Genomic DNA, 24,159 nt, shown 5'->3' with positions numbered 1-24,159 from the left:
CATCACATCTTATTTTGTAGCAGAGAGTATTTAATTGGTGGGCTGAGTGCTTACAAAATCTTGGAAGAGCGGAAGCAGCAGACTCTAGGATAGACTTCCAGTTACTCTCAGCAATACCATGGGCCTGTTCCTCAAGGACAACCACCAACCATGGGACCATCAGAGAAACAGAATCGAGAGGCTCTGGGAACACACCACCTTCTCTTTGATCCAAAGATCAGTAAGGAAACCATTATCATCTCAACTATTGGTCTAAACCACAGCACACCAGATAGATACACAAGGACAAAATAATGAGTGACCTTCCCTCCGTTGATCTCTTGACACTACAAAACTTGACTGCTGGAAAGGAACCACAGAACAACCCCACATCTCCAGGTCTGCTTGCCAGAAATGCAGAAAGCACAAAGTGGAAAAATCAGAAGGCAGGCTCCACTCCACCTGTGCTACAAAGACACTTCCCAATGATGTCCAGAAGCCCAGCCCCACGGGAGTCTGGAAAATGTGGTTTTCTGCTGAAAAGCCTCTTGAGGAGCACTGGGCAGGCCTGTCCACCAACGCCCCCTCCGCATGTGGCAGGGGGACTTGCGCTCACCAGGATGCCAGGGCAAGCCTTTCTGAGAAAAGCGTGCTTAGATGAGATCTGATGGCTGAGGAGTTATCTAGGCAGATCCTAGAAGTCTTCTAGAAAAGGCAATAATGGTAAGATACTAAAGAGACATGGCCCAGTGCAAACTGATGAGGAACACAGTGTTTATGGCAGGTGCAGGGAGAGTAGGCACGGTTTAGACAGTGCATGAAGAAGGGAACCTGGTATGGCCTGTGTAGCAGTCCCTGCAGGTGCCCTGCCCAAGCCCCTCAGTGCTACCCTTGCACACCAAAGGCTGCTTCCTGTGTACTCTGGAATGCACTGACCACAAGCTCACAGGGTGAGCCAGGAGTCCTGGCGATCCCATGCTTCTGGACGCAGCCCTCACCCAGCCACAGACAGGGATTGGCAGCACCAGGACCTCAGCTTCCTGGCCTCTTCTTTGCGAGCTCACCACCATCTCCCAGAGTTTCCTAGAGGAACGGTCCTCCAGTTGCCAGTGTAACTGGCTTCCCTTTCCTGTCGCACTGCCCCATCCCCTGAGGATGTTTATCCAGATGGTCACTCGAATCTTTGTCTCAGGGTCTGCTTCTGGGGAAATCCAAACTAAAATATCCTGAAACAGAAGTTGTTTTCTTAGTCCTACCTACTCAAGGGTTATAAGTCAATGTGAGGCAGATGTAGGGAAGCGTCTGAGGGAGTCCAGCCATGACTGGCTTTTGTAGTCAAGACTCTGGTGCTGTCCATAAGACTCCAAGAATAATACCCAACACAGCTGACCGCAGAGGTGCCTGATTTTTCAGGTCTGGCTCTGGTGAGAACTGCAGAGAGACAATGCTGCATTTTTTCAGACCTACACTTGGACAAAACATTTGCTAACTTAGCAGGGGGCCTCAGACTTTGAGCAAGTCATGGGACTTTTGGAAGAGCCTTCAGAGCTTGGAAGTGTCCTCAGCCCACCTCCCAACTACTGCATGCATCCAATTAACCTGCTCTGACTTGGACATTTCCAATATTCTACACAAATAGTAAACATTCCTCTTTAAGTGCATAAAGAGTTCACTTACTCGCAAGTGTCATCAGTAAATTCTGGTGGCTCAGTTTAGGTAACTGGCAGAGTGGCTCTGAGGAAGTGCACAGCCATTTTTATAGTGCTGCTTACAATGTAAATCCCATTCCCTCTGCAACAGGGAAAAGAACACTTGACTGAGTCTGTAAAGCAATAGCCACTTGGTCTACATGACTTCAATCTGCAGTGCTATAAAGGAAAACTCCAAACTTTCTACTCCAAAACAGCCTTCTAATAAAAACTGCCCCAACATAATAATTGGAAAGCAAGAGTTAATTCATATATGTGAGATTCTAGAAAAGGCAAAACAATAGTCCCAGAAAATGGGTCAGTGTTTACCAGGTGCTGGAGTTGCAAGGATGGGTTGAATACACTGCAGCATGGAGAGCTTTTGGAGTAATGGAAATGTCCTACATCTTGATTGCGAGGATGGTTACATGACTGTGTACATTTGCCAAATTAATCAAGCTATCCAACAGAAGTCTACAGATTCTATTGTATGTAAATTATACCTCAATAAAACTAATTGAAATACTTTTATAATTTATGAGAAACCATTCGGTAATTGTCCCAATGATATGTTTTTATCTGTTGATGTATGGTAATACATGTTACCTATTCAATAGATTATCTGTAGTTAATAATAATACTATAAATTTAAGATAAGCCATTTTTGTTAAGTGTATTCTTTATTCTCTGGAAATTTTAAAAACTACCTGATTGAAATTCTCCATCCTCTAAGAGAATGAAAGGAGACAATAAAGATCATGGTTTTGGAATCAAACAGATATGGGTTCAAATATTACCTCTGTTGTTTTTCTAGCTGTATGACTTCAGGAATTTTACTTAATCTTTGGTCAACCTCAGTGGCCACAGCTAGCTGCAAGGGAATCTGGAAAGTGTCCCATTTATTCTATGCAACCATCTCTCCAGCTATAAATTTTTACAGAAGATAAAGCCAGCAGGTTTGGGTGAGGAAAGGGGGTGCAGCTAGCCATATCCATCACAGGGTGCATTTCCTTTAACACACATTGGCCTTTGGGAACAACCACACCAAAAGCAAATTCTGTTTCTGTTTTAAAAAAATTACCTATCCTTCTACCCCACCACTCACACCAAACACAAGAGCCCCATTGACCCATGAGCGTTGGAAAGCCTGATCCCTCTGTGCCCACACAGGGAACCTCTCTGAGGGAGGCTTTCTCCCAAGTCACCCATGTTAGAGTGGGATCCGCCTCCCGTGTTAGCAGCCAGCAGCCATGGTGCAGTTCCTACCCCAGAGACCACCATTTTGGACAATCTTTCCCTTTGTTCTATTTGATTTCTCTCCTCAACAAGATGCAACAAAGCCCATCTATGCTCAGCTCATTAGCAACCACCAATATGGTCACCCTTGTCAACCTAAGTCCTTTGGAAATACAGTGGGCACCTGTGCCACGTCTACTTGTGAAATCAGAAAATGAGGCAAACGAGAGGAAAAGATTCTTTCAACATGAAAGAACAACATGTTACATTTTCTATATTATCAACCCAGACAATGGCTTTAAAATCAGAACAGCATTGCCGGTGATTCCAGCCCCTTGCTATTTTGTGGGGCTCCCCAGGGAAGATGGAAGGACAGACAGTAGTAACATAAGAGGCAAAGCATTAAATATGAGGATCTCGCATCCTTTCGGTGCCAGCAATAGCCATGTTTGCTCACGGCTAACCAGTCAGGGAAGGAGGATGATTTATTATAAGCTGTTGCAGAATATATTATGCAGGGTAGAGGCATGGAAAGGTCTTTGATATGTATCTGAAAGAGCTTCAAACCCATAAAAGAGATAAATTTTGTATGAAGAGTGTCACTGAGAAGCCGGGAAGAATCTCCAACACATCTTCATATCACAGGGAATAATGAAGGGCTGCTCTAAGCACACAATCCAGGCATTAATTTCACTTAAAGAGGCCGTCATTAGCATATCGATGCACACAACTTCACACTATAAGCCGTCCGTGCAATCGGGAAACACAGCTAAAGACTTCATGGTCAAGGCCTTGATCCATGGTCAAGGCCCGGAATGTGTGTTTTATCGATTGTTTCGCCTTGAAATGCTAACCTGATCTCTGGTTCCTTTCTTCTAATCCTCCAAAACCACAATTTAAGAGCAGTAAACTGTCTTCCTTTTCTTTTCCCTTAACTCCAAGCTCCTGTGTAATTCCCAATTTCTGATCAAAGCCTCCTGGAATACAAGCTCCCCTGGCCCGTGAGCTTGTTCAAGGGCCTGTTCTCTGAGGGGGCTGCCAGCATGGCCCTAGCTCCCCACGGCCTGTCTCCTTCAATCTGGCCTCTCCCCTCTGTCCAGGCTTTAGAGAAAGCAGGTAAGAGCTCTCCTGAAGTGGCTCACAGCACCCTGGCACACAACCAGTTACTAGGCAGACAACATAATATTTGTCAAGAATGCCTCTTGTTCTTGAATTATGGTTTCCTGCTCCAAGCTGCTGCTGCTGTTTGAATTGGGCTGCACCTAATTATGGTTTTATTTGCTTTAATAAAGAGATATCCAAGTGTGCAGAGAGTGGCACACAAAACAATAATAACAATAATAATAGTAAAGTGTCTCTCTAAACATCTGCAATTAAGGCATTTGTTGTTAATTGCATTAATTAACCTCCCCCATGAAGCAGCTGGTGAGGTTTCCACAACAAGGAAAAGAGAAAGCCAATTCCCAGAAGTATTGGGTTGGCAGCTTCTCGAGAGCCCATCCCTGGGTTACCGGCTCCCTGTGCTTTCGGATGGAGGTGCATTCCCACTGAGCTGCCCATCACCCTGGCACCAGGGACCAAAGCACCCTTCAGCTGGAGCATCATGGTCAACCTCTTGCAGGCCACTGAATCCTGATGGGATGGCCGGAGCTTACAGAGAGCCAGTCCTACTGAAATACCAATCATCACAACATTAATAATAATAAGAGTGACACTGATTCAGCCCAGTTCTCAAGTCTCCAAAGCTGGAGGACCCAATAAAGCAGCCCCTTCCACTATGGTCCAAGGGGTGGCGTCCTGCCCTTTGCAAGACAGAACAGGAAAATTTGGTGGAATCCTGATCCTAAACATGATTGCCCGTTCCACAGTGGACTAATGTGATTTTATCGTTTTGCAGAGACACCCAAATATTATCCCATTCTCACAAGTCCTGGAGACCCCAGGGGCATGTGACTGTCCCATTCTGCAAACAAGAATAACAGCACGACCAGGAGGCATTCACCCTTAATAGCCACATGATTTTCAGGCTCCAGGCTCCAGGTCTCCTGCCCCTGCTCTGTAAGCCACAGAGTATATGACCACTGTCCAAATTTTTTTAAAAACTGAGGTGACATGAGTGAGCCTTTGTTTCCTGCCCAAGGAATTAGATGTCCCAGATTTATCAAAATATTTTTTAAAATCTGAGCCACAGCTATTACACTAATTCTCCAATTTTGGTACCTTGGCTAACATTAATTGCCTTCCATTAAAAAATTAGGAAAATGTAAAGAATGAAATTTCATGTACTCAGTCAGCAAACAGTTGTGTGTCTAATATGTGTCAGGCATTTCACTAGATGTTGAAGATCAAACAAAGGCAAAGGAAAAAAATATAGTCATGAAGCTTCCATGAGGAAGAGGACATTAATCAAAGATGCTCACAGTGAAATATAAAAGTGTGGCCATGCTAAGTATCTGAAAGGAGAGGCATGTGGCATCATGGGACACATAACATGAAGGAGGCATTTGCAAGGCAAGTTGTGTATATGGGGAGGCCTGGGCAGGCAAGGAGAGGGGCAAGGGCTTCCTGAAGAGGGAAGAGCATGGTCAGAGGCCAGCAGTGGGAGGAACCAAGGCATGATGGGCTGGTGAGGTTGGAGAGCAAAAAGTGTTGGGGTCAGGGGGTAGGGAGAGGGGCCTGAAGAGGTGGGCAGGGGCCTGACCCAGAAGATCCTTGCAATCCCTGCAAAGACAGAAGACACTGGAAATCCACTGGGGGGTGTAGGCAGGGGAGCACCAGGACCAGGCTAGTGTTTTGAGAACAGAACTCTGGCTACTGGGTGGAGAATGCATGCTGGGAGGGCATCAAGAGGGTGGGAGGCCCAGCTGGATATGAACCCTGACTATGGCAGTGGAGAGAAGCAGAAGGTGGCATCAAGACATAATTGTAAGAAGCAAAATCAATACAATTTGGCAATGGAGGAGGGACAAGCAATGCCCCCTGAGTTAATGGTAATGCCACTCCCTGTGCTGGGGGAATCCTAGAGGAGGATGCTGTGGTTTGAACATGGTTTGTTTCCACCAAATCTCCTGCTGAAGTCTGATTCCAGTGTGTCAATGCTGGGAAGTGGGGACTAGTGGGAGGTGTTTGGGTCATGGGGTAGATTTCCCATGAACAGAATAATGCCCTCCCATGGGAGTGAGTGAGTTCTCACTCTATTAGTTCCAGCAAGAGCTGCTTGTTAAAAAGAGCCTGGCACCTCCCGACTCTCTCTTGCTTCCTCTCTCACCAGTGATCTCTGAGAGCCGGGGTTCCCCTTTCACCATGAGTGGAAGCAGCCTGAGGCCCTCACCAGATGCAGAGGCCCAATCATGAACTTTCCAACCATCAGAATCATGAGCCAACAAACCTTTTCTTCTTTATAAATTACCCAGCCTCAGATATTCCATTCTAGCAACACAAAATGGACTAAGACAGAGAACAAGTGTGAAGAGGAAAGACTGATTCAGGTTTTGGACATGAACATGTTAGGTGCTTCTGGACCATCTAAGAAGGGGCACTGAGCTGGAATACAGGCCTAGAGCTCCAGGAGAGATGCCAGGCAGCACGCAAATGTGAGGGTCATGTGTGTGGGGGCAGAAATTGAAACCACAGAAGAGGATGAGATCATGTCGGTGAAAATATGGAGTCAGGAAAAAGTATGGAATTGCTGAGCCCTAAGCAATTCCAATACTTAATTTCAGAGGATAAAATGGTGAAGGAGACTTCAAATGAGAGAAAGAAAGTGGCCAGAGGGCTGGGGGGAAAGCCCAGGGAGCGTGACACCCTGCAAGTCAGGCAAGGGAGTGTGTCCAGAGGAAAGGAGCTTGAGGTGCGACCGAGGGCTAAGGAGAGTGATGACTAGAAAATATCCCTTGATTTGGTGACACAGAAGGAATTGGTAACCTCAGTGAAGATGGCAGGATGGGTAGGGACGGGGCCAGATGGGTGCAGGGAGAGGCTGGAGAGAAGAAACGGGTGCAGTGCTTTCGAAAAGTCTGATTGGAAATGAGGAGGAGCAATTCGGGGCAGTAGCTGAATGGGCCTGAGGTGAGGGCAGATTTGGCTTGGTTTTTTAATAGGAGAGATTAGCAGATGTATTAAAAGCTAATGGGGAAAACTTGCCCAATGCTACATGTGAGAATTATGCATTTCACTGTAAATTTTTACTTAACAGAAAAAGCAACAAAAATGAATCTTGAAATCTGGTCAGTGGTATGCAGGCTGAAGTGTGTAGGAAGCGAGTATATAATGTCTGCAACCTGCTTTGAAATGCATTTTTTTAAAGTCTTGGTGGGCGGTTAGAAGAATGGACAGAAGACCAGATGTGTGATCCAGCACATACAGCAAATGCCAGTTGTGGCATCTGGGTGGTAAGTGCGTGATTTTCTCTGTACAATTCTTTCAACTTTTGCAACATTGGTGAAAAAGAAAATAAGAAGAGTCCAGTTGACAGAAAAAGACTATTCAAAAGTAAAAAGAAAACAGATGTGGTAAGTTTCCCAAGGAGCTGGGAGGAGATGGGGTTGATGAAGACATCTGGCTGAGATAGGAAGGTGAGGAACTTCACAGAAACAAGAGAAAAAGGAAAATGACAGCAACTCTCCCTACTCAGCCGTGATTAATCAAGCAGTAATCCACAATGGCCCTCCCATGGCATCACTGAGAGGCTTTTTTTTTTTACATAGATAATGAATCTGCAACAATCCCCATGATTTAAGGTAAACCCTACAAGGTGATTCCAAACACACTACTAACCAGGCTAAATTTCTTTTAACTTCCCGTCAGATGCTCTATCAGCCTGACGACTCCCACCACCCATGTCTTGAGAAAAGATAAGTGAAATGAGTTCCTGCCACATCCAAGCCACTGCAAGTTCTATCATCTCTTGATCCTCAACAAGCACAAGCTTTGGGATCCACAGACTTCAGCTAGAGAGTCCCAGCTGGATCCTTCACTAGCTTAGGGATCTCCGTCTCCTCCCCTGTAAAATGGGGGCAAGAACCACTCCTGCCTCTCCCAATCACTGAAAGGGTTACACGAATGAGGTCCTGCACACATAAAACCTCTAGGCCCATACTGGGTCTATAGTAACCAGAAAACACAGATTGTTATTTTCCAAAAATACAAAGCTTAAGTGCAATTCATGCACAAGGATGCACTGTTGTCACTCAGAAGACACTTTATAATGTCGAGAGAGCGGCGGTGCTCGTCTTTTGAAATCTGTTTTGCTCTCTACTCACATTTCAAGCTGCATAAAAAGTGTCCTTTCTGGTATCCCTGGTGCCTTAGGTCATGTTGCTCGTCCACATAAAAGCCCATTCGAGAATCATTATCACCCAAGCAGCTTCCAGATTGGCGGCTTATCACTTCTGAAGGGTCCCAAGGCGGCCATGGAGAAGTGCCCCAAAGCCTTGTTTGCTTCCTTGGGCCAAAGGTCCACCTGTGGTAATTAGCGAGATTGGTCCTGGACCAGACTCAGCTGGTGTAGCCACAAGACCAAATGATGCCCTTCAACATGCTGCATGGAAAAAGTGTCTCTCTGATTATCTGCTCCCAGATCTGAAAAGCTACCTTCTGTGAGCTCAGTGGAAAACTCCAATTCATTAACTGATTTCAACAGAAAAAGACAATCTCAAAAGGCTTGTTGACAACCACTGTAGCCATGGTGTAACCTTAACCTTATCTTTCATTATTCCGCTTTTATGAGGAAAAGAAAAAAAGGCGTTTGTTTTCATGGACATAACCTCACAGAAAGCTTTCATACACAAGATGCACAAGATGAAAAAAATACACTTATTGGAGAACGCTCGATATATTTGAAAGTGCTAGGAACATCTTCATTCTCTCTGTAGAAGTCACATTTCCTTTAGGATTGTGTAGCCTCAGATATAAAAATGTTGTTAATTCAATTCATGTGAACCCTTATAATATCCCACTGAAGGTAGACTTTATAACTGACTGCAGCTCAACCCTGCTCTCAATATAGACAAGACTCACCCACGTAGCAGAACTTTCTTCAAACAGAAATATGAGGCAGACAATGTTAATGGGTCCAAGCAACAACACATGGAATGGACAGGCAGTGGGCAAGGGGGTCACCTGCACCTGCCGTCAGCCCCTCACCTGTATCCCAGCTGACCAGGCACCTAGGAACATAGCAGCTCATGTTTATTATGCCTATTTCATTTGGCTTGCACAATGGTTAGGGATTTTTGAATTTTTAGTTAGCTGCTTATATTTTTAAATCCTGACATTTCTGATTAAAAAAAAAAAAAACCTGGATTTCCAGCTTTCTCATGAAATATCAGGAACTCTGACAAAATGGAGTCCCAGAGGTAGCACTAAGGGAAGACATAGGAAGCCCTAGACACCCCAGTGCCCTTCAGCACCCCAAATTCACCCTCCAAATAAACAGAAAATCTCAGTCTGCAACCCCCTCTTCCAGAGACATCCCTGGCCACACTCACACAGATGCCACTATGGGCCCCTCCCAAGAAAAATTGATGAGGCCCCAACCCCTACCAAGCTTGCAGGAGGAAAGGAGCTGCAGCCTCCTTTGGACAAGGCCAGTGACCTCTGTTCCACCTGAGTCACCACCAGACCCTGGCACTGCCCACCTGACCCCTGGGAGGAATCACTTTTGAGACCTGGACCACGATGAATGAACAAACTGGAAAAGGACATTGTTTTTAAATGGCAATTAACTCAAGATGCAAACAACCCTTATTATTTGTGGACTCCATATTTGCAAATTCAGCTAGTCGATAAAATTTATTTGTTATCCCAAAATCAATATTCCCAGCAATTTCCTGGTCATTCAAAGACACTGGCAGAGTGGAGAGAAATTTGAGTCATCCAGTGCTAAGGAAGAACAAGATGACATCCTACTTTCTGGTTCCAGTTCTCATACTTGTTTGCAGTCAAACAAGCATCCTTTTTGTGGTCTATTTAGTGCCGTGATTTTCACATTTTTGTGGGGTTTCTTTGGTGATTTCACATTTATAATGGCCCTAGGCATCGTGCTACAGTGCTGGCTAGAGTTCCCAGGCACGAGAGGCTGTGAGGTGCCTTACAGAGGAAATCCATGTGCTAGAAAAGCTTCCTTCAGGCCTGAGTCACACCATTGCTGGTCCTGAGTTCAGTGCTAATGGATTCACACTATACCACCAACAAGGCATCTGTCAACAGAAACATACATAGAATGATGTTATGTACCGATCAGCTGACAAAACATGACCAGAGGCCAGCAGGAATCTAACCCTATGCTTCTCCTAGGAGCAACGATTCAGCGTCTACTAGTTCAGTGTTCGTGGCAGCTTTATAGAACACAACTATCATGAGTGATGAGGCTTTAAGTCATTGCTGCCACAGGGGGCCACCAAGAAAGGGTTTACAACAGAAGTGATTTCTCTATGTGGTTTCAGGGGTGCCAAGTTGCGGGGAGGATTCAATGAAAGGGTTAAGAGGAATGAACTGTTTCTTTTGACTCTGGGTACAGAAAGGAGCAGAAGTACCCCCTGGTCCCAGCCTTGGGGTCAACTTTGAGGCTGCCCTGCCCTTTGACTAGGGCCTCCTTTTCCCCTTCCTACCTATGCCAGGCCCTGTTTTGCTGTGTCTGGAACCCAGTGCAGAGCCCACCTCCCCGTGACTGGTGTTCCCTCCTTCCATGGATGGAGTCTGAAGAACCAGGTCTTTGCACCTACAGGAAGCCCCCAGATCAGAGCTGCCAGGGAAGTTCTGTGTCTGCAGAAGGGAGAGGCGCAGGAGTGAATAGATTGTTTTTTATGTCTTCAGGCTTTTTCAGCTTTCTCTTTTTAAAAGAGACTAACTCTGCATATAAAATGCATTATCTCTGTATACCTGCTAGCAAACAGCCTTCCTTAAACAAATCAACCTATCCAGGGCTAGAGTATACAGCTGCCCAGCCTGGGAACTGCACAATCCCAGGGAGGAAGAATGCTTTTCACATCAGAGTTTATATGCAGCACAGAGTCCTGACAGAGTGGGATATACTGTGAAGCTACATCTTCCATTGCATAATGTTCTCCTTTGGGAACGTGAATCTAAGTATCTGCCTTCCCCACCCAAGTCAGTGGGAAGTGGTTTCATTGGCCACCAGATTTCACAGATAATAAAATGGGAGTGTTTTCCCTTTCCTCCAGAAATACTTTTTATCACCAAGTCACCACCTTACTCCAACGTTTCTGGAACTCACTACTGTTTTTGTTGGTTTCCAAGCAGCAGCTGGAGACCTCCCTGGACCAACCAGCAGCTGGATGCAAACCCAACTCAGGTTAGAGCTTAACTCCAGCAAGCACAGCGCTGCCTCCTACAAGCCCCCACATAGCATTTGCCTCCAAAACTAGTTAGGCAGGATCCCATAGGCCTCCCTGTAACAATATCTCCATAGGAAGGAAGGAAGGAAGGAAGGAAGGAAGGAAGGAAGGAAGGAAGGAAGGAAGGAAGGAAGGAAGGAAGGAAGGAAGGAAGGTATCTGCCCCAAAGCTGTTCTTGACCTTTTTTTGAGTGACTTCACTTTATTTTAAGCTTTATGCAGAAAGTGCAATTGTATTAATATTTGTATCTTGCTATTTCATATTCACTGCAATTCAATGTGTAAAAGCTGCCACAGTGACACTAAGTGGTAAAGAGTTAGTGGTCTTCCCATCCACTAAGTGCATGGAACCAGAACAGAGCAGGGGCCTGAGCCCCACCGCCTGAGGCCAAGTTTCCATCCTTCTATGGACTTCTCTTCTCCCGTTTTTCTCATCATTAAAAGAGAGAGTGACCATGCCTATTTAAGAGGAAGGTTATAGAGATTAAGTGACATTATTCAACCTGTCTCAAGGGGCCACTGGGGAAAGTTTTCTATCTGTAATAATGGTGTTTCAGTAACCTCACAAGCTAAGAAAACCATCAATGTGGACAGATGAATCCTGAATTCATAAACAGCACCTTCCAGGTAGCAGGAAGGCAGGTGAAAGCTAGCTTCCCTCCAGGAACTCTTTGCTCATCCCACCTCTTTAATTAAATTCTTGGGCCAAGTGTAGTGGCTCAGGCCTATAACCCTAACACTTTGGGATACCAAGGCAGGAGGATCTCCTGAGGCTAAGAGTTTGGGACCAGCCTGGGCAACATAGTGAAGCCCCTGTCTTTACAAAATATTTTTTAAATTAACTAGGCAACTTAGGAGGCTGAGGCAGGAGGATTGCTTGAGCCCAGGCATTCGAGGCTGCAGTAAGCTATGATGGCACCACTGCACTCCAGCCTGGAAAATGCCTGAGCTATCTAGGTTATTAACCACCAACCAAAGGCTGAAATCCAATAGGTCTTTAGTTCTCTTTCTTTATTTCCCTCCAAAATGTGATGCAGCTTTTTCCCTGGGGCGCTGGAAGAAGCTAGGGCAGACAGATAACAGCAGTTGAAGGTGGAGATGCTGAAAAGCATGCTTGGCGTGGATGGAAATTTGGCCTCAGGCAGTGGGAATCAGGGAAGACCATTAACTCTTTACCACTTAGTGTCCCTGTGGTAACTTTTACATATTAAATTGCAGTGAATATGAAATAGCAAGATACAAATATTGATAAGATTGTACTTTCTTCATAAAACTTAAAATAACATTAAATCACTCCAAAAATTGTCAAGAACAGCTTTGGGCAGATTGCATTTTCTCTTTCTTCTTCTGTTAATTTTGCATGTTAATTTTCTTCTTAACTGTTTAACATGTGCTGCTATTTGATGATACAATTTTCAAGAGCAATGAGAGGCTGGGAAATGTTTCCTGGTGTGGCCACCACCTAGGAAGACAGTTGGTGCCACAAGAGCTTGTGTAGGGGAAGTTCATGGGCCCGAGGGTTGACCTGCTGGAGCGGGCAGCCGTGCACCCATGCCGGACTCAAGGAGGGCATCACACATGGAGGGGGCAACACAGGCCAGGATGTAAAGCTGGAAAAGTGCAGGGCATGTCCGGGGGCGTCCAGCTCAAGTGGCTGTTTGAGAATTGCTTGTGCTATCGGACGGAGAGGTCACGCACATTGGACGCGAGAGGATCGTGGGTCACAGTCTGGGAACCAGAGCACCAGAGCCCAAGGAGGGAGGACCACAACACCCAGGCCCCTTACCACGCTTATTCCAGCAAGGTAAAGTCCCTCTGGAATGGCTCATGCACCCGGCTTGTGGACAGGAGTGGGATGGCGTGGCTGAGACGGAGATAGGAGGGAAGCAAGGGGAATGGGAAGACAGCTGCCTTGGAGGCCACTCCCAAAGGAAGGAGAGCAGGATGAGAAAACCCCAAATCCACGTAATGCCCTAAAGTGCACTGGGGTCAGCTAAGGCGATGCAGATTGAGGAAGAGGCTCCGAGTCAGTAAGACCAGCACCTAAAATTCCTCTAAAGAAAGGCACTAAAACTCCAGGGCCCCTCATCAGTGTTTGAAAAGATATTTGGCTGCACTTATACTTTAACATGTCCCATAACGTGCCCTGAGATACCATTTTTCACTTATCCAGTTGGCAAATAACATAACGCTCAGTGACTCCGGTGCTGGTAGAGGTGAAGCAGAACACACAAGGGTACAAACTGGCAAGGCTTCCACAGACGGCAACTTGCAGTTCTTTTTAAAAAACCCTCTGAGACAGGAATTCCACTACCAGGACTGTATCCTACATGTGTCCCCACACATGCACATAATGACAGTTGTACAAGGCTACTCATTGTGGCACTGTTGTCATAGCAAAGATTGGAACCAACCAAGATGTCCTTCAGGTGCGGACTGCTTAAATAAATAACACCTCATCCACATAATGGAATGCCAGGCAGAGAGAATGAAGAAATCTGTTTCTTCCTAATGACATAATCTCCCATTATTTAATGAAGAAAAGGGGCAGGCTATGTATGTCAGGTACAATTATTGGTGGTTTTTGAAGGGAAAATGAGAAAGAGAAAGAAACTTTTTTTTTTCTTTTTGCTTATGCATGTACTATCTGTGGAAGGATACAGAAGACGCTGATTACTTTAGTTGGCTCTGCTGGGGAGAACGGAGCGGCTGGAAGACAGAAGAATAAGGAAGATGAGATCTAACACCTTTCTGTTGTTGTCGAATTTTGAACCAGATAGAAGTTTTATCTATTTTCTAAATAAATACAAAAACAAAAACCCCAGGCCCTGAATACAGCTTTAGGTGAAAACGGTGTTCCCAATTCCCACTCCTCACCCATACCCAGCCTCCTATCTCCCTCTCAGCCACGCCATCCCACACTTCCCACTCCTCATCCATATCCAGCCTCCTATCTCCCTCTCAGCCACGCCATCCCACACTTCCCACTCCTCATCCATACCCAGCCTCCTATCTCCCTCTCAGCCACGCCATCCCACTCCTGTCCAGCCTTTTCCTTCCATTCCAATTTTATAAAACTTCCCTTCACCTCACTCCTTTGGCGGGATGATTTTTAACACTTCACAGTTTTACAAGCTTTTGCATTTCAGATTTGAGTCTCTGACTTAAATGAAAAGCTGGAAGTGTTTCTTATAGAAAAACTCACATATATGTACAAAGTATTCTTGCAATGGAAGAAAAATGAAAGGCATCTAAATGTCCATCTGTAGGGGAGAAAAATCAAACAAATCAGATTATTTCCACACTGCACAACAGCATGCAGCGGTAAAACAGTCAGATCACTTTGTGTTTAAAAACCTCAGGCCGGGTGTGTGGCTCACACCTGTAATTCAAGCACTTTGGGAGGCCAAGACAGGAGGATTGCTTGAACCCAGTAGTTCAAGACTAGCCTGAGCATCGCAGGGAGATCCTGTCTCTACAAAAAATTAGCCAGGCATGGCAACTTGCACCTGTAGTCCTAGCTACTTCGGAGGCTCAGGTGGGGGGATCCCTTGAGCCCAGGAGTTCGGGGCTGCAGTGAACTGTGCCATTGCACTCCAGCCTGGGCAACAGAGCAAGACCCTGTCTCAAAAATAAATAAATAAAAATAAAAATAAACCTTATACAATATATTTTCAGACTTTATATAGTACATAAAAATATATTATCAATATAAGCATAAACTTTATATAAACATATTGTATAAAGCATAGAATTAAATGTATTATATTTTTATATATTTATATAAAGTTTTAAAATATTTTTACATTTGTAAATATAAAATATATACACATATATGCCATACAAAATATATTTTATGCTTATTTATAAGTCATACACTTCATATGTGCACATGTAATGTATATTTCTACATGTCTACATCTCTGTGTAACATATAGAAACGAATATATAATATACATATATATCATTTGTAAATGCATAGGAAAGGAATGTAAATGTTCTCTAGGGGTGTAGTAAGATCGGGATGATAAAAGGAAATGCAGGAAAGCTTGAGATTGTTACTGTATGAACCTGCATGGGCTTGTGTGATGTTTTTAAACAATAAAAATTATTAACCATCTTTTGGTGCCTGGCATGACAAGTATCTGCCACTAGAGGGCACTGGAGATCGCTAAATATTTCCCAGGATTATCTTTGAGGGAGGGGGCGCGGGTGCAGGGGATTTGAAGGAAGCCCCTTTACCTCTTTATAAGGGTCCCTTTTTCACGCTGGGGGACTGGGCCCTGAACCTGAACTTTCAGTGAGGGTAAAGCTTGGCTGGAAGCCCGCAACCCTTCTCTCTCCACTCCCTCAAATAGGCCCCTGCAGCCATTTGGGGTGGGAGTCCTTTATCCAGCCCACCCCATTTTGCCCACCAGTTTCGCCCACCAGCCCTGGTCTGCGGGACGCTGCTCCGGTGTGGAAGGTGGAACTGGCATCGAGTGCATTTCAGTGAGCTCACCTTCACTCCTTATTCCACATGGGTGTTCAACGGGGAGCCCTGAGACATTGGAAGGGGCCGTTTGTGATTGCTCAATTATAGTGGAGACATCTTCGCATTTGGGGGAGGAAGAGGGAAGCTAGAATTTCTGAAATGCTCAAAATTCAGCCTGAAATGCATGTCGGTGAACAACCAGTTGCTAATTACCTACCCTAGGCCCTAACTCTCTGACACGTAATCATAGAGCATTATCGCCTGGTTTAGTATGAGCGGAATATGCAGGAACCCAGAGTCAGTCAACGTGTGTTGTTGTGCCTAGAAATTTACTGAGCGTTTTTCACCAGTATGGAAAACCACGGCACCATGACGCCAAGCCGGTAGTGTCTGAGTCACTGGTCCTGTGCTCCAGGCTTGGCCTGGCTCTGGGGTTGTCGGGATCACATTCTTACAAGACAAACACCTGGATACTTTATTACGTCTTCTAGAGAGCTTGTGCCCAAGCATTTACCTATCGAATATGTGTGTGTGTGTGTGTGTGTGTGTGTGTGTGTGTGTTTACCAAAAGTTACCTTTTTCAACTTCTCTTTTGTTTCTCCTTTATATTACAGAAAGAACTTTTTGTAATGATGCATGTAAGTAGATTATACAATCTGTGAATTTCATTTCAAGATAGGACAGGAAGCGTTACAAAATATTCGTGGTCTCCAAAGTGATTCTGACACCTCATGATGACTAAGACCTTTGGTTGCCGTTGCCTCAAATAATTTCCTCCTAGAGCAGCAGTTCTTCACCTCGGCTACACATTGAACTATGTGGGAAGCTATTAAAAATACAGATGCCTGAACCCCACAGCCTTCATTATCTTGTGAGCATCTGGGCCAAGTTCAGTGCTGGTGCTCTTGTTCAGATGGATGTAGCTGGTGGTGCAGAGATCCATGAGCTTGCTTTTATGGGACTTTCTGCTGTTGTTGATCTGGGATGCAGTCAGGATACTAGGGCTTTTTTAAAGCTCCCCAGTTGACTCTAATGCAGCCAAATTTGAGAACCATTCTCTGCTCAATACCTTCAAAAATGGAAAACTAACAACCTCTCACTCAGTGCCACCCCAGGTATGACGTGCAGAACAGCAGCATCAGCATACCTGGGAGCTTGTTAGAAATTCAGAGTTTAGGATCTATCTCAGACCAGCTAAATCCAGATCTTGGGAAGTGGGGCCCAGGTACTTGTATTCCACTCCACGCCTCCACAACATTGGCTTACTTTTAATTTAGCTTTAAATTACAATTTTAAAATGGAATTAACCAGAAGGCAAGGGTATACGGGAAATTTTTTTTAACACTTCTCATGTAAACTCAAGTCTTTTATTCCTTTTTCAGGGGTAAAGCAGGCTTTTCCATTTACAAGGTTATTCATGAGTTGCAAAAATTCCCTCCCTTCCTCCATGCTTTTGTAATTCCTACATTCCGCCATTTAGTCTTGGTGGCCACAATCAAACAGAAATCATGAGGGCCCTTTCCTCTTGCATCCGTAGTGGCAACCTTTGCAGCAGACAGTAACTGCTCCAGATCTGTCAAATAAACGCAAGTATCTGTATTTCTAAATCACCTCTCAGTAATACTTTTGCATACTGGAGTTTTCACTTTGGCATGCCCTAATCCTTACACAAGCACGAATTCCTCTAAATCCCAGCCTGAATTTGTTTAACTTACCAGAGAAGGCTTGCCCATTGAAGATTGGTTCTTCAGCCACTGCTTTTCATTCTCATACCAAACAAGTGCATTTTTAAGAACTCGCGAGAGTCTTGCTACTCTTCAACAGAGAAAGTCATCTCCAAATTAATCCACAGTCAGGAGCACCTCGTGCTGCTTTTATATATCATTAAAGTCCTGTAAAAGCAAGCTCACGGATCTCTGCACCACCAGCTAAATCTATCTGAACGAGAGCACCAGCCCTGAACTTGGCCCAGATGCTCACAAGATGATGAAGGGCACCCCTCCTCCAGCCTGTTCTTGTCCTCTCTCCCAGGGAGGCTTAGTCCTTTGGCACAAAAGCAGTGGTGGCCATTCATTCCTTGCCCTAGTGAAGCCAACTTCCTCCACATTCATTCTGCCCATCAGCATCTGATGCCCCCACAATGGCAAACACTGCAGGGGACCAAAGTCTGACTCCAAAAGGAGGCAGAATGCCAGGTCTTCTGCAGTGATGCCCTCGAATGGCCATCTCTCACTGCCTGGGATTAGCCTACATTGAGATCAATGATTAGCAGGTAACTTGTGAAGCCGACTCCTAAAAGTCCCATTCCTCCATCTTAGCTCATTTGGGAAAACAGTTTTTCCAACACTTCTTACGTAAATTCAAATGTTAGATTCTTTTTTTGGATTTCACAAATAGGACTAATAATTGATCCACTCATGTAAATATGAATACAGTGAATTGCATATAGTAGGCACTGGATTATTTGTTAAAGTGTTGAATTAGGCCAGACACAGTGGCTCGCACCTGTAATCCCAGCACTTTGGGAGGCCAAGGAGGGCAGATCACTTGAGGTCAGGAATTCAAAACCAGCTTGGCCAACATGGCGAAACACTGTCTCTACTAAAAATAGAAAAAAAAAAAATCGCTAGGCGTGGTGGTGGCACACATCTGTAATTCCAGCTACTAGGGAGACTGAGGCATGAGAATCTCTTGAACCCAGGAGGCAGAGGTTGCAGTGAGCCGAGATCGCACCACTGCACTCCAGCCTGGGTGACAGACTCAGACTCTATCTCAAAAAAGAAAAAATGTTGAATTAATACATGTATGTGAATACACTATATGTATGTGTACATGTGCATCTATCTATATAGCTGTATCTCCATCTGTATGTTCATTGATCTATGTGTCTGTATATCTACAGATAGACTGCCCCACCTGACCCAACAACCAGTCCAATAAATGAGCCCTTATTCTGCACTGCCAACCAGACTTCACAGCATTCCTAACATGTTTCACTGAGTCCTCACACAAAGCCAAGAAATAGGTATTATTCCTGAGGTCTCATAAAACCATCTGAGAAATGTGTAGCAGAGAATCAAAGCCATGTATGGCAAAAAATAAAAAATTAAAAAAAAAAGGCACTGGTGCAAAGATTTCCAGAAGTACTGGAGGAGCCATGGGCCACCTGAGAACTATGGACTTCACAAGATCAGATGCAAGGGAGAGAAATTACCTGGTGTAGGGGAGGATTAGACCTTGGCCACCTGGATTCAGTTTCCAGTTTGCCAGGGCCTCAGCAAATTCTTCCTTTTGTGCACCTGTTTCCTGGTAAACTTCCTGCAGAAGCAGAGAAGCTGGTAGGGCTTGGAGGAAACTGAAAAACAGGGACAATGAAAACAGTCCTTTGTATGACACATTTGGCCCTTGTCAAGAAATACAAACGGGGAACCTAGCTTAGGAAAAGCAAGACGTCTTCATTCATTTCCTCAAGGAAGTGGCCCTTGCCTATGACTGCTACGAGTCAGTTTCCAAAAAGCTCAATATTAAGCTCTGATTGCTCCCTAGCAGAAATGGCTGCTTTCATTTATTCTTGCCCATCTGGCACAAAAGCAATATGCAGAGCTCAAAAGAGGTACGCAGAGGTGGCCCGGTAAACACTGGCCTCCATTTCATTTCAGTGGGGGTGGGTCATGGTTCTGCGGGAACAAACGCTGAATCCTTGCTCCGGGTGCATGAAAGGCCGCATCCAATTTTGCCTCCCGTTGCTTTCCCAGTATCCAGCATGCCTGGCCCCACAATAGATGCTCAATAAACACTTGAGTGAATAAATTATTAACATATAATCATGAACGTTGTTACCAAATATTAAACACCTTTTATAGACCAAGCTCAGGGCAAATTGATTTACATATCATTGTTTCATTTACTCCTCCTGACATCTGAAGGAGGTAGAGGGACCATGGTAGATAAGGACGTTGAGAGGTCAGAGGAGTAAAGAGATTGGCACAGGATTGCACAGCCTGTCCTCAGCGCCAAAATTCATACAGAGACAGTCTGACTCCAAAGCCTGTTTTGAGGAAGGTTTTGTCATGTAATTTTGTAATGTATTATGTAGTTTTTATAAAATTGTAATTTATGTGATTTTTATCTATTTGTCATTTTAAATTTTTTAATTATGTGGTTGCAATTTTACATGATTATAACTTATTACAATTGAAATTTTATGTAATTGTGTAAATTTTAATGTAATTTGGAAGATGGCCCTTTTTAGGTAATGAAGTTGCATATGTATAAATTTCACAAAATATTTAAGTGAGAAATAACTCCAATCTTTTAGACTGTCTTTCAGAAAATGGAAGAAAGTATATTCTTCAACTCATTTTTGAGACTAGTGTAGACTTGAAACCTTAATTCGTAGTGGAAGGGAGATGACAGATGAATATCATGTATGACCGTAGATGCAAAAATTCTAAACAACAGAAAAAGTCAGTCTGAATCCAGGGATATGAAATAGAAGGATACTTCATTACTAAATTTAGTTTATCTCAAAGACACAAAGCTGACTTAATGTTAAAAAAATCAATCAATATAATTCATCACACTGAGAATATAAAGCAAAAACGTGATTGTTTCACAGATCCAAAAATCAAGTATAAGGTGTAACATTCATTTATTATTTAAAATAAATACTATCAACAAACTAGAAAAAGAAGGGGACTTATTAATGTGATATTGTTTACCTACAATAAATCTTCAGCAAACATCTAACTTAATAATGAAATATTAAATACTTTCCTCTGGAAATCATGATGAGGACAAAGATGCCCATAATAACCACTTCCCTTCAACATTTAGAGTAGAGGTTTCAGCCAATAGAGTAAGACAAGAAAAATATACTAAAATGCACAAAGATTTAAAAAGGAAAGAGCAAAAGTATTCTTATTTTGAAGATAATGATTGAATACATAGAAAACTGACAGAATAAGATATTAGAAACTGTGAGTTTTACAAGGCTACTCATTACACAACAATCGACTACATTTCTCTGTGTTAGTAACAAATGGCTAGAATATTAATTTAAAAGAAAAATATATCATTTACATTTGTGTTGAAAGGAATATCAAGTACCTAGGAATAAATCTAACAAAACATTTCGAGACCTCTATGCAGAAAACTGTAAATTTTTATTAAGGAAGACCTAAATAAATGAGAAGCAACACCATATTCATGCACTGAAGGGCTCAATGTCATAAAAATACCAATCCTACATGAACTTGGTGTATAGATTTACTGATCCCAACTGAAATCCCAACAAGCAGATTCTAAAATGTATATGGAAATGAAAAGACCAAAAGTGGTTAAGCTATTCCTGAAGAACAAAGAAGAGAGTGGATTTGCTCTGCCCAGTATCAACTTAAAATAACACTACATTAATTAAAGCAGCCTAGTGTTTGTACAAGGACAGATAATAGATTAATGGAATAGGATAGAGTGTTCTTAAAGAGATCCAGATATATATGGACACTTGATTTATGGCAAAGATAAAATTGAAGGAGGATAGAGAAAAAACTATTTTAAAAATGTATGTGGCTGGGACAATTGAGTATCCACAAGGAAAACATGAAATGAGGCCCCTACCTCAAACCATATACAAAATTCAATTCCAGGTGGAGTATATGTGAAAACCAAGTTGAAAAGACCAAGAAAAAAAAGCTTTTAGAAGGTTAAAGAAAACTGATAAATTCGAGTACATTAAATATAAGAATTTTGTTAATCGAAAGACAACATTAAGAGAGCGAGAAGGCAAGCCACAGAGTGGGAGAAAATATTAGGGGAACATAAAACTGACAGAGAGCTCAAACTACATAAAGAATGTCTATAAATCAGTAAGGAATAAACAAAACATAGAAAAATGGGCCCCCAAAACCCTGATATGCGTTTCAAAAAAGGGAATCCAAATAGCCAACAGACATATGAAGGATGCCCAACCCTGTTAGTAACCAAGGAAAGGTAACTAACATAGTGTTCCTATTAGCCCAGATCTGGAACAACTCCAATGTTCATGAACTGTAGAATGGATAAATAAATGGAGGCATAGTCATACAATACAATACCATACAAACAATAAAAATAAATAAACTTCCCAGGCACGGTGGCTCATGCCTGAGTAGCTGGGATTACAGGTGTGCACCACCACGCCTGGCTAATTTTGTATTTTTAGTAGAGAAGGGATTTCACCATGTTGGTCAGGCTGGTCTTGAACTCCTGACTTCAAGTGATCCACCCACCTCAGCCTCCCAAAGTGCTGGGATTACAGGCATGAGCCACTGTGCCTGGCCTATTTCCACCTTCTTAATGTAAGGATTTTTGAGATTCATGAGCAGCCCTCATCAAATACCTGTGGATTCTTTTAGCAGTGGGATTTATGTGTTGTAGAAAAAACAGTAATAGCTAATATCAAGCCCTCTTCTAAGTGCTTTAATTGTTTTAATTCATTTAATCCTCATAACCACCTTGCGAGTCAGTGATCTACCAAGGGCAGGTCACTGGGGCATTGTCTGTAGAAAAGTTAACAATAATAGTAATCCTGATAAAACTTTTCTGCTTTTTATTATCATGGTCCAGCAATTCTTAAAGAGATCAGGAATAAAATCCTCCTCTCTAGAAAAAAAATATTTTGTTGATCAAAGGTCTAAATAATTCATGATGATTACTGATAAGTTATAATCTTATATAAATAAATGTAAGTTTCAAAATAGCATCTTTTTATTACAGATCCTTTAATAAACATTGCATCCTATTCAGAAGTTAATTCAGAGAATTCTCAGTTCTACAGCCGGCACCTGACTCATGTGGACTCAGGCTGTTTCAAAAGTGGGTTTCTATGGCTGTGTTGTCTGAGCTGCCTTTCCTTCAGGTGCAATCACAAGACAAGCCCTGGGATGCTGCAGATTCACCATGAATGGTGGATTCCAAATAAAAAATGATAGCAGGATGCCTAGAGAGGTGAAGATGCAAACTTTGAGTTATTTCAGTTCTGTCTCCATGGGACCACGTGGAGTTTTTATTTGTGTTTAAAATTCCAAATGACAAAACAGAATGCAAACTATGAGATGACTAATTTAATATGAAACGGGCAAAATTGAGTTCGGATCTGAAAAAACGGTACCGCATTTGAATAGTATCTTTAAAATTAAAATGTAAACCAGACGTTCCCCTTCCCCCTCGTAGCGCTCTGGCTCTGCAGGAGCCTCTGCACGGAGCAGAGAGCCTGGACATTGCACTCCTGATGCCCCTGGACGCACACCCGCGGGCACTGTCCCAGACCTCATGGGGCACAGGCAGTACTTGCCTACCGGGCAGTGTTTTGTGCCAGTGAACTCAAGGGGAAGTAACTTAAATAAACACTGACCATGGCTAAAATGTCTCGGTGTGAGAACAGGAGGTCAGAGTCCAACAGGGCACATGGTGAAGTGCAGCCGGCCGGAAACCTGGGGCAGAGCCTGGGTCTATTTTCTGGCACTCAGCCCTGGAAAGACTCCATTAGACCAGAGTCCCTGAGGGACAAGCACCCTGTCCTTCTTACACATTATCCCCTGCCATTCGCACAGGTGTTTCCCCCCAGATCATCTCATTCCACAGGTTCCCCTCTATTGACCCCGCCACCTCCCACCCATCCAGCTCCCCAAGCTTGAAATGCTGGTCTTCAGCATCTCCACACTAAAACAGTCGCTCTCTCCTCAAAGTCGCTTGAGTCTCTTATTTCCTTCCTTTTTTTTCCCAGTGGGAATACCCAGGAAAGGCCTCCACTGCCTGCCATCTGGGCTCTCCAGCCCCTTTCTTGGGTTCCCAATGTCATCTCTGCCCTGAGCCTCTCCTGCATTTCACACTTCGTTTAGTCACACGTCTGCTTCAGGGGCTGACTTCCTGCCTGAATTAAGCCAAATCCAAAACTTTTCTGGATTCAGTCAACTCCTGCATACTCTCTCCATCATGTACCCTCAGTCCTAGCCAGCTCGCCAATGTCATTTCTTCCTCTTTTCCACCTGAGATCCTTCCTCCACATAGACTTTCACAATTCTCCACAAAACTGAGCCCATCAAAAGCAACAGATATTCTGGTGGGTCGGGCACCGTGGCTCATGCCTGTAATCCCGGCACTTTGTGAGGCTGAGGCAGGTGGATCACTTGATATCAGGAGTTCGAGACCAGCATGGCCAACATGGTGAAACCCCATCTTTACTAAAAATACAAAAATTAGCTGGGCATGTTGGCGTGCACCTGTAGTCCCAGCTATTCAGGAGGCTGAGGCAGGAGGATTGCTTGAACCCAGGAGGCTGAGGTTGCAGTGAGCTGAGATCGTGCCACTGTACTCCAGCCTGGGCAACAGAGTGAAACCCCGTCTCCAGAAAAAAAGAAAAGAAAAAAAAGCAACAGACATTCTGT

General features: G+C 43.7%; 1 long non-coding RNA gene across 1 annotated transcript in view, besides 1 other annotated feature; it reads right to left on the bottom strand.

Annotated features, from left to right (window-relative positions):
- The window catches only part of LINC01727 (long intergenic non-protein coding RNA 1727), a 45,699-nt gene extending 28,026 nt beyond the window's left edge, over nt 1-17,673 (bottom strand). The window contains exon 1 of the long non-coding RNA NR_109880.1: nt 17,449-17,673. This is a non-coding gene — a long non-coding RNA (long intergenic non-protein coding RNA 1727). The remainder of the gene's footprint in view (nt 1-17,448) is intronic.
- Nucleotides 12,945-13,445: an enhancer, noted in NCBI's record as "H3K4me1 hESC enhancer chr20:21554890-21555390 (GRCh37/hg19 assembly coordinates)". NCBI's record gives its function as "activates a minimal SCP1, AML or CMV promoter by ChIP-STARR-seq in primed H9 embryonic stem cells {active_cell/tissue: H9 hESC(primed)}" and the evidence as "EXISTENCE:reporter gene assay evidence [ECO:0000049][PMID:30033119]".
- Nucleotides 17,674-24,159: the final 6,486 nt, after the last annotated feature.

Source organism: Homo sapiens, chromosome 20 (assembly GCF_000001405.40).
Source record: "Homo sapiens chromosome 20, GRCh38.p14 Primary Assembly".
Taxonomy (NCBI): Eukaryota; Metazoa; Chordata; class Mammalia; order Primates; family Hominidae; genus Homo; species Homo sapiens.
This window is presented reverse-complemented; position numbering and strand designations above follow the sequence as displayed.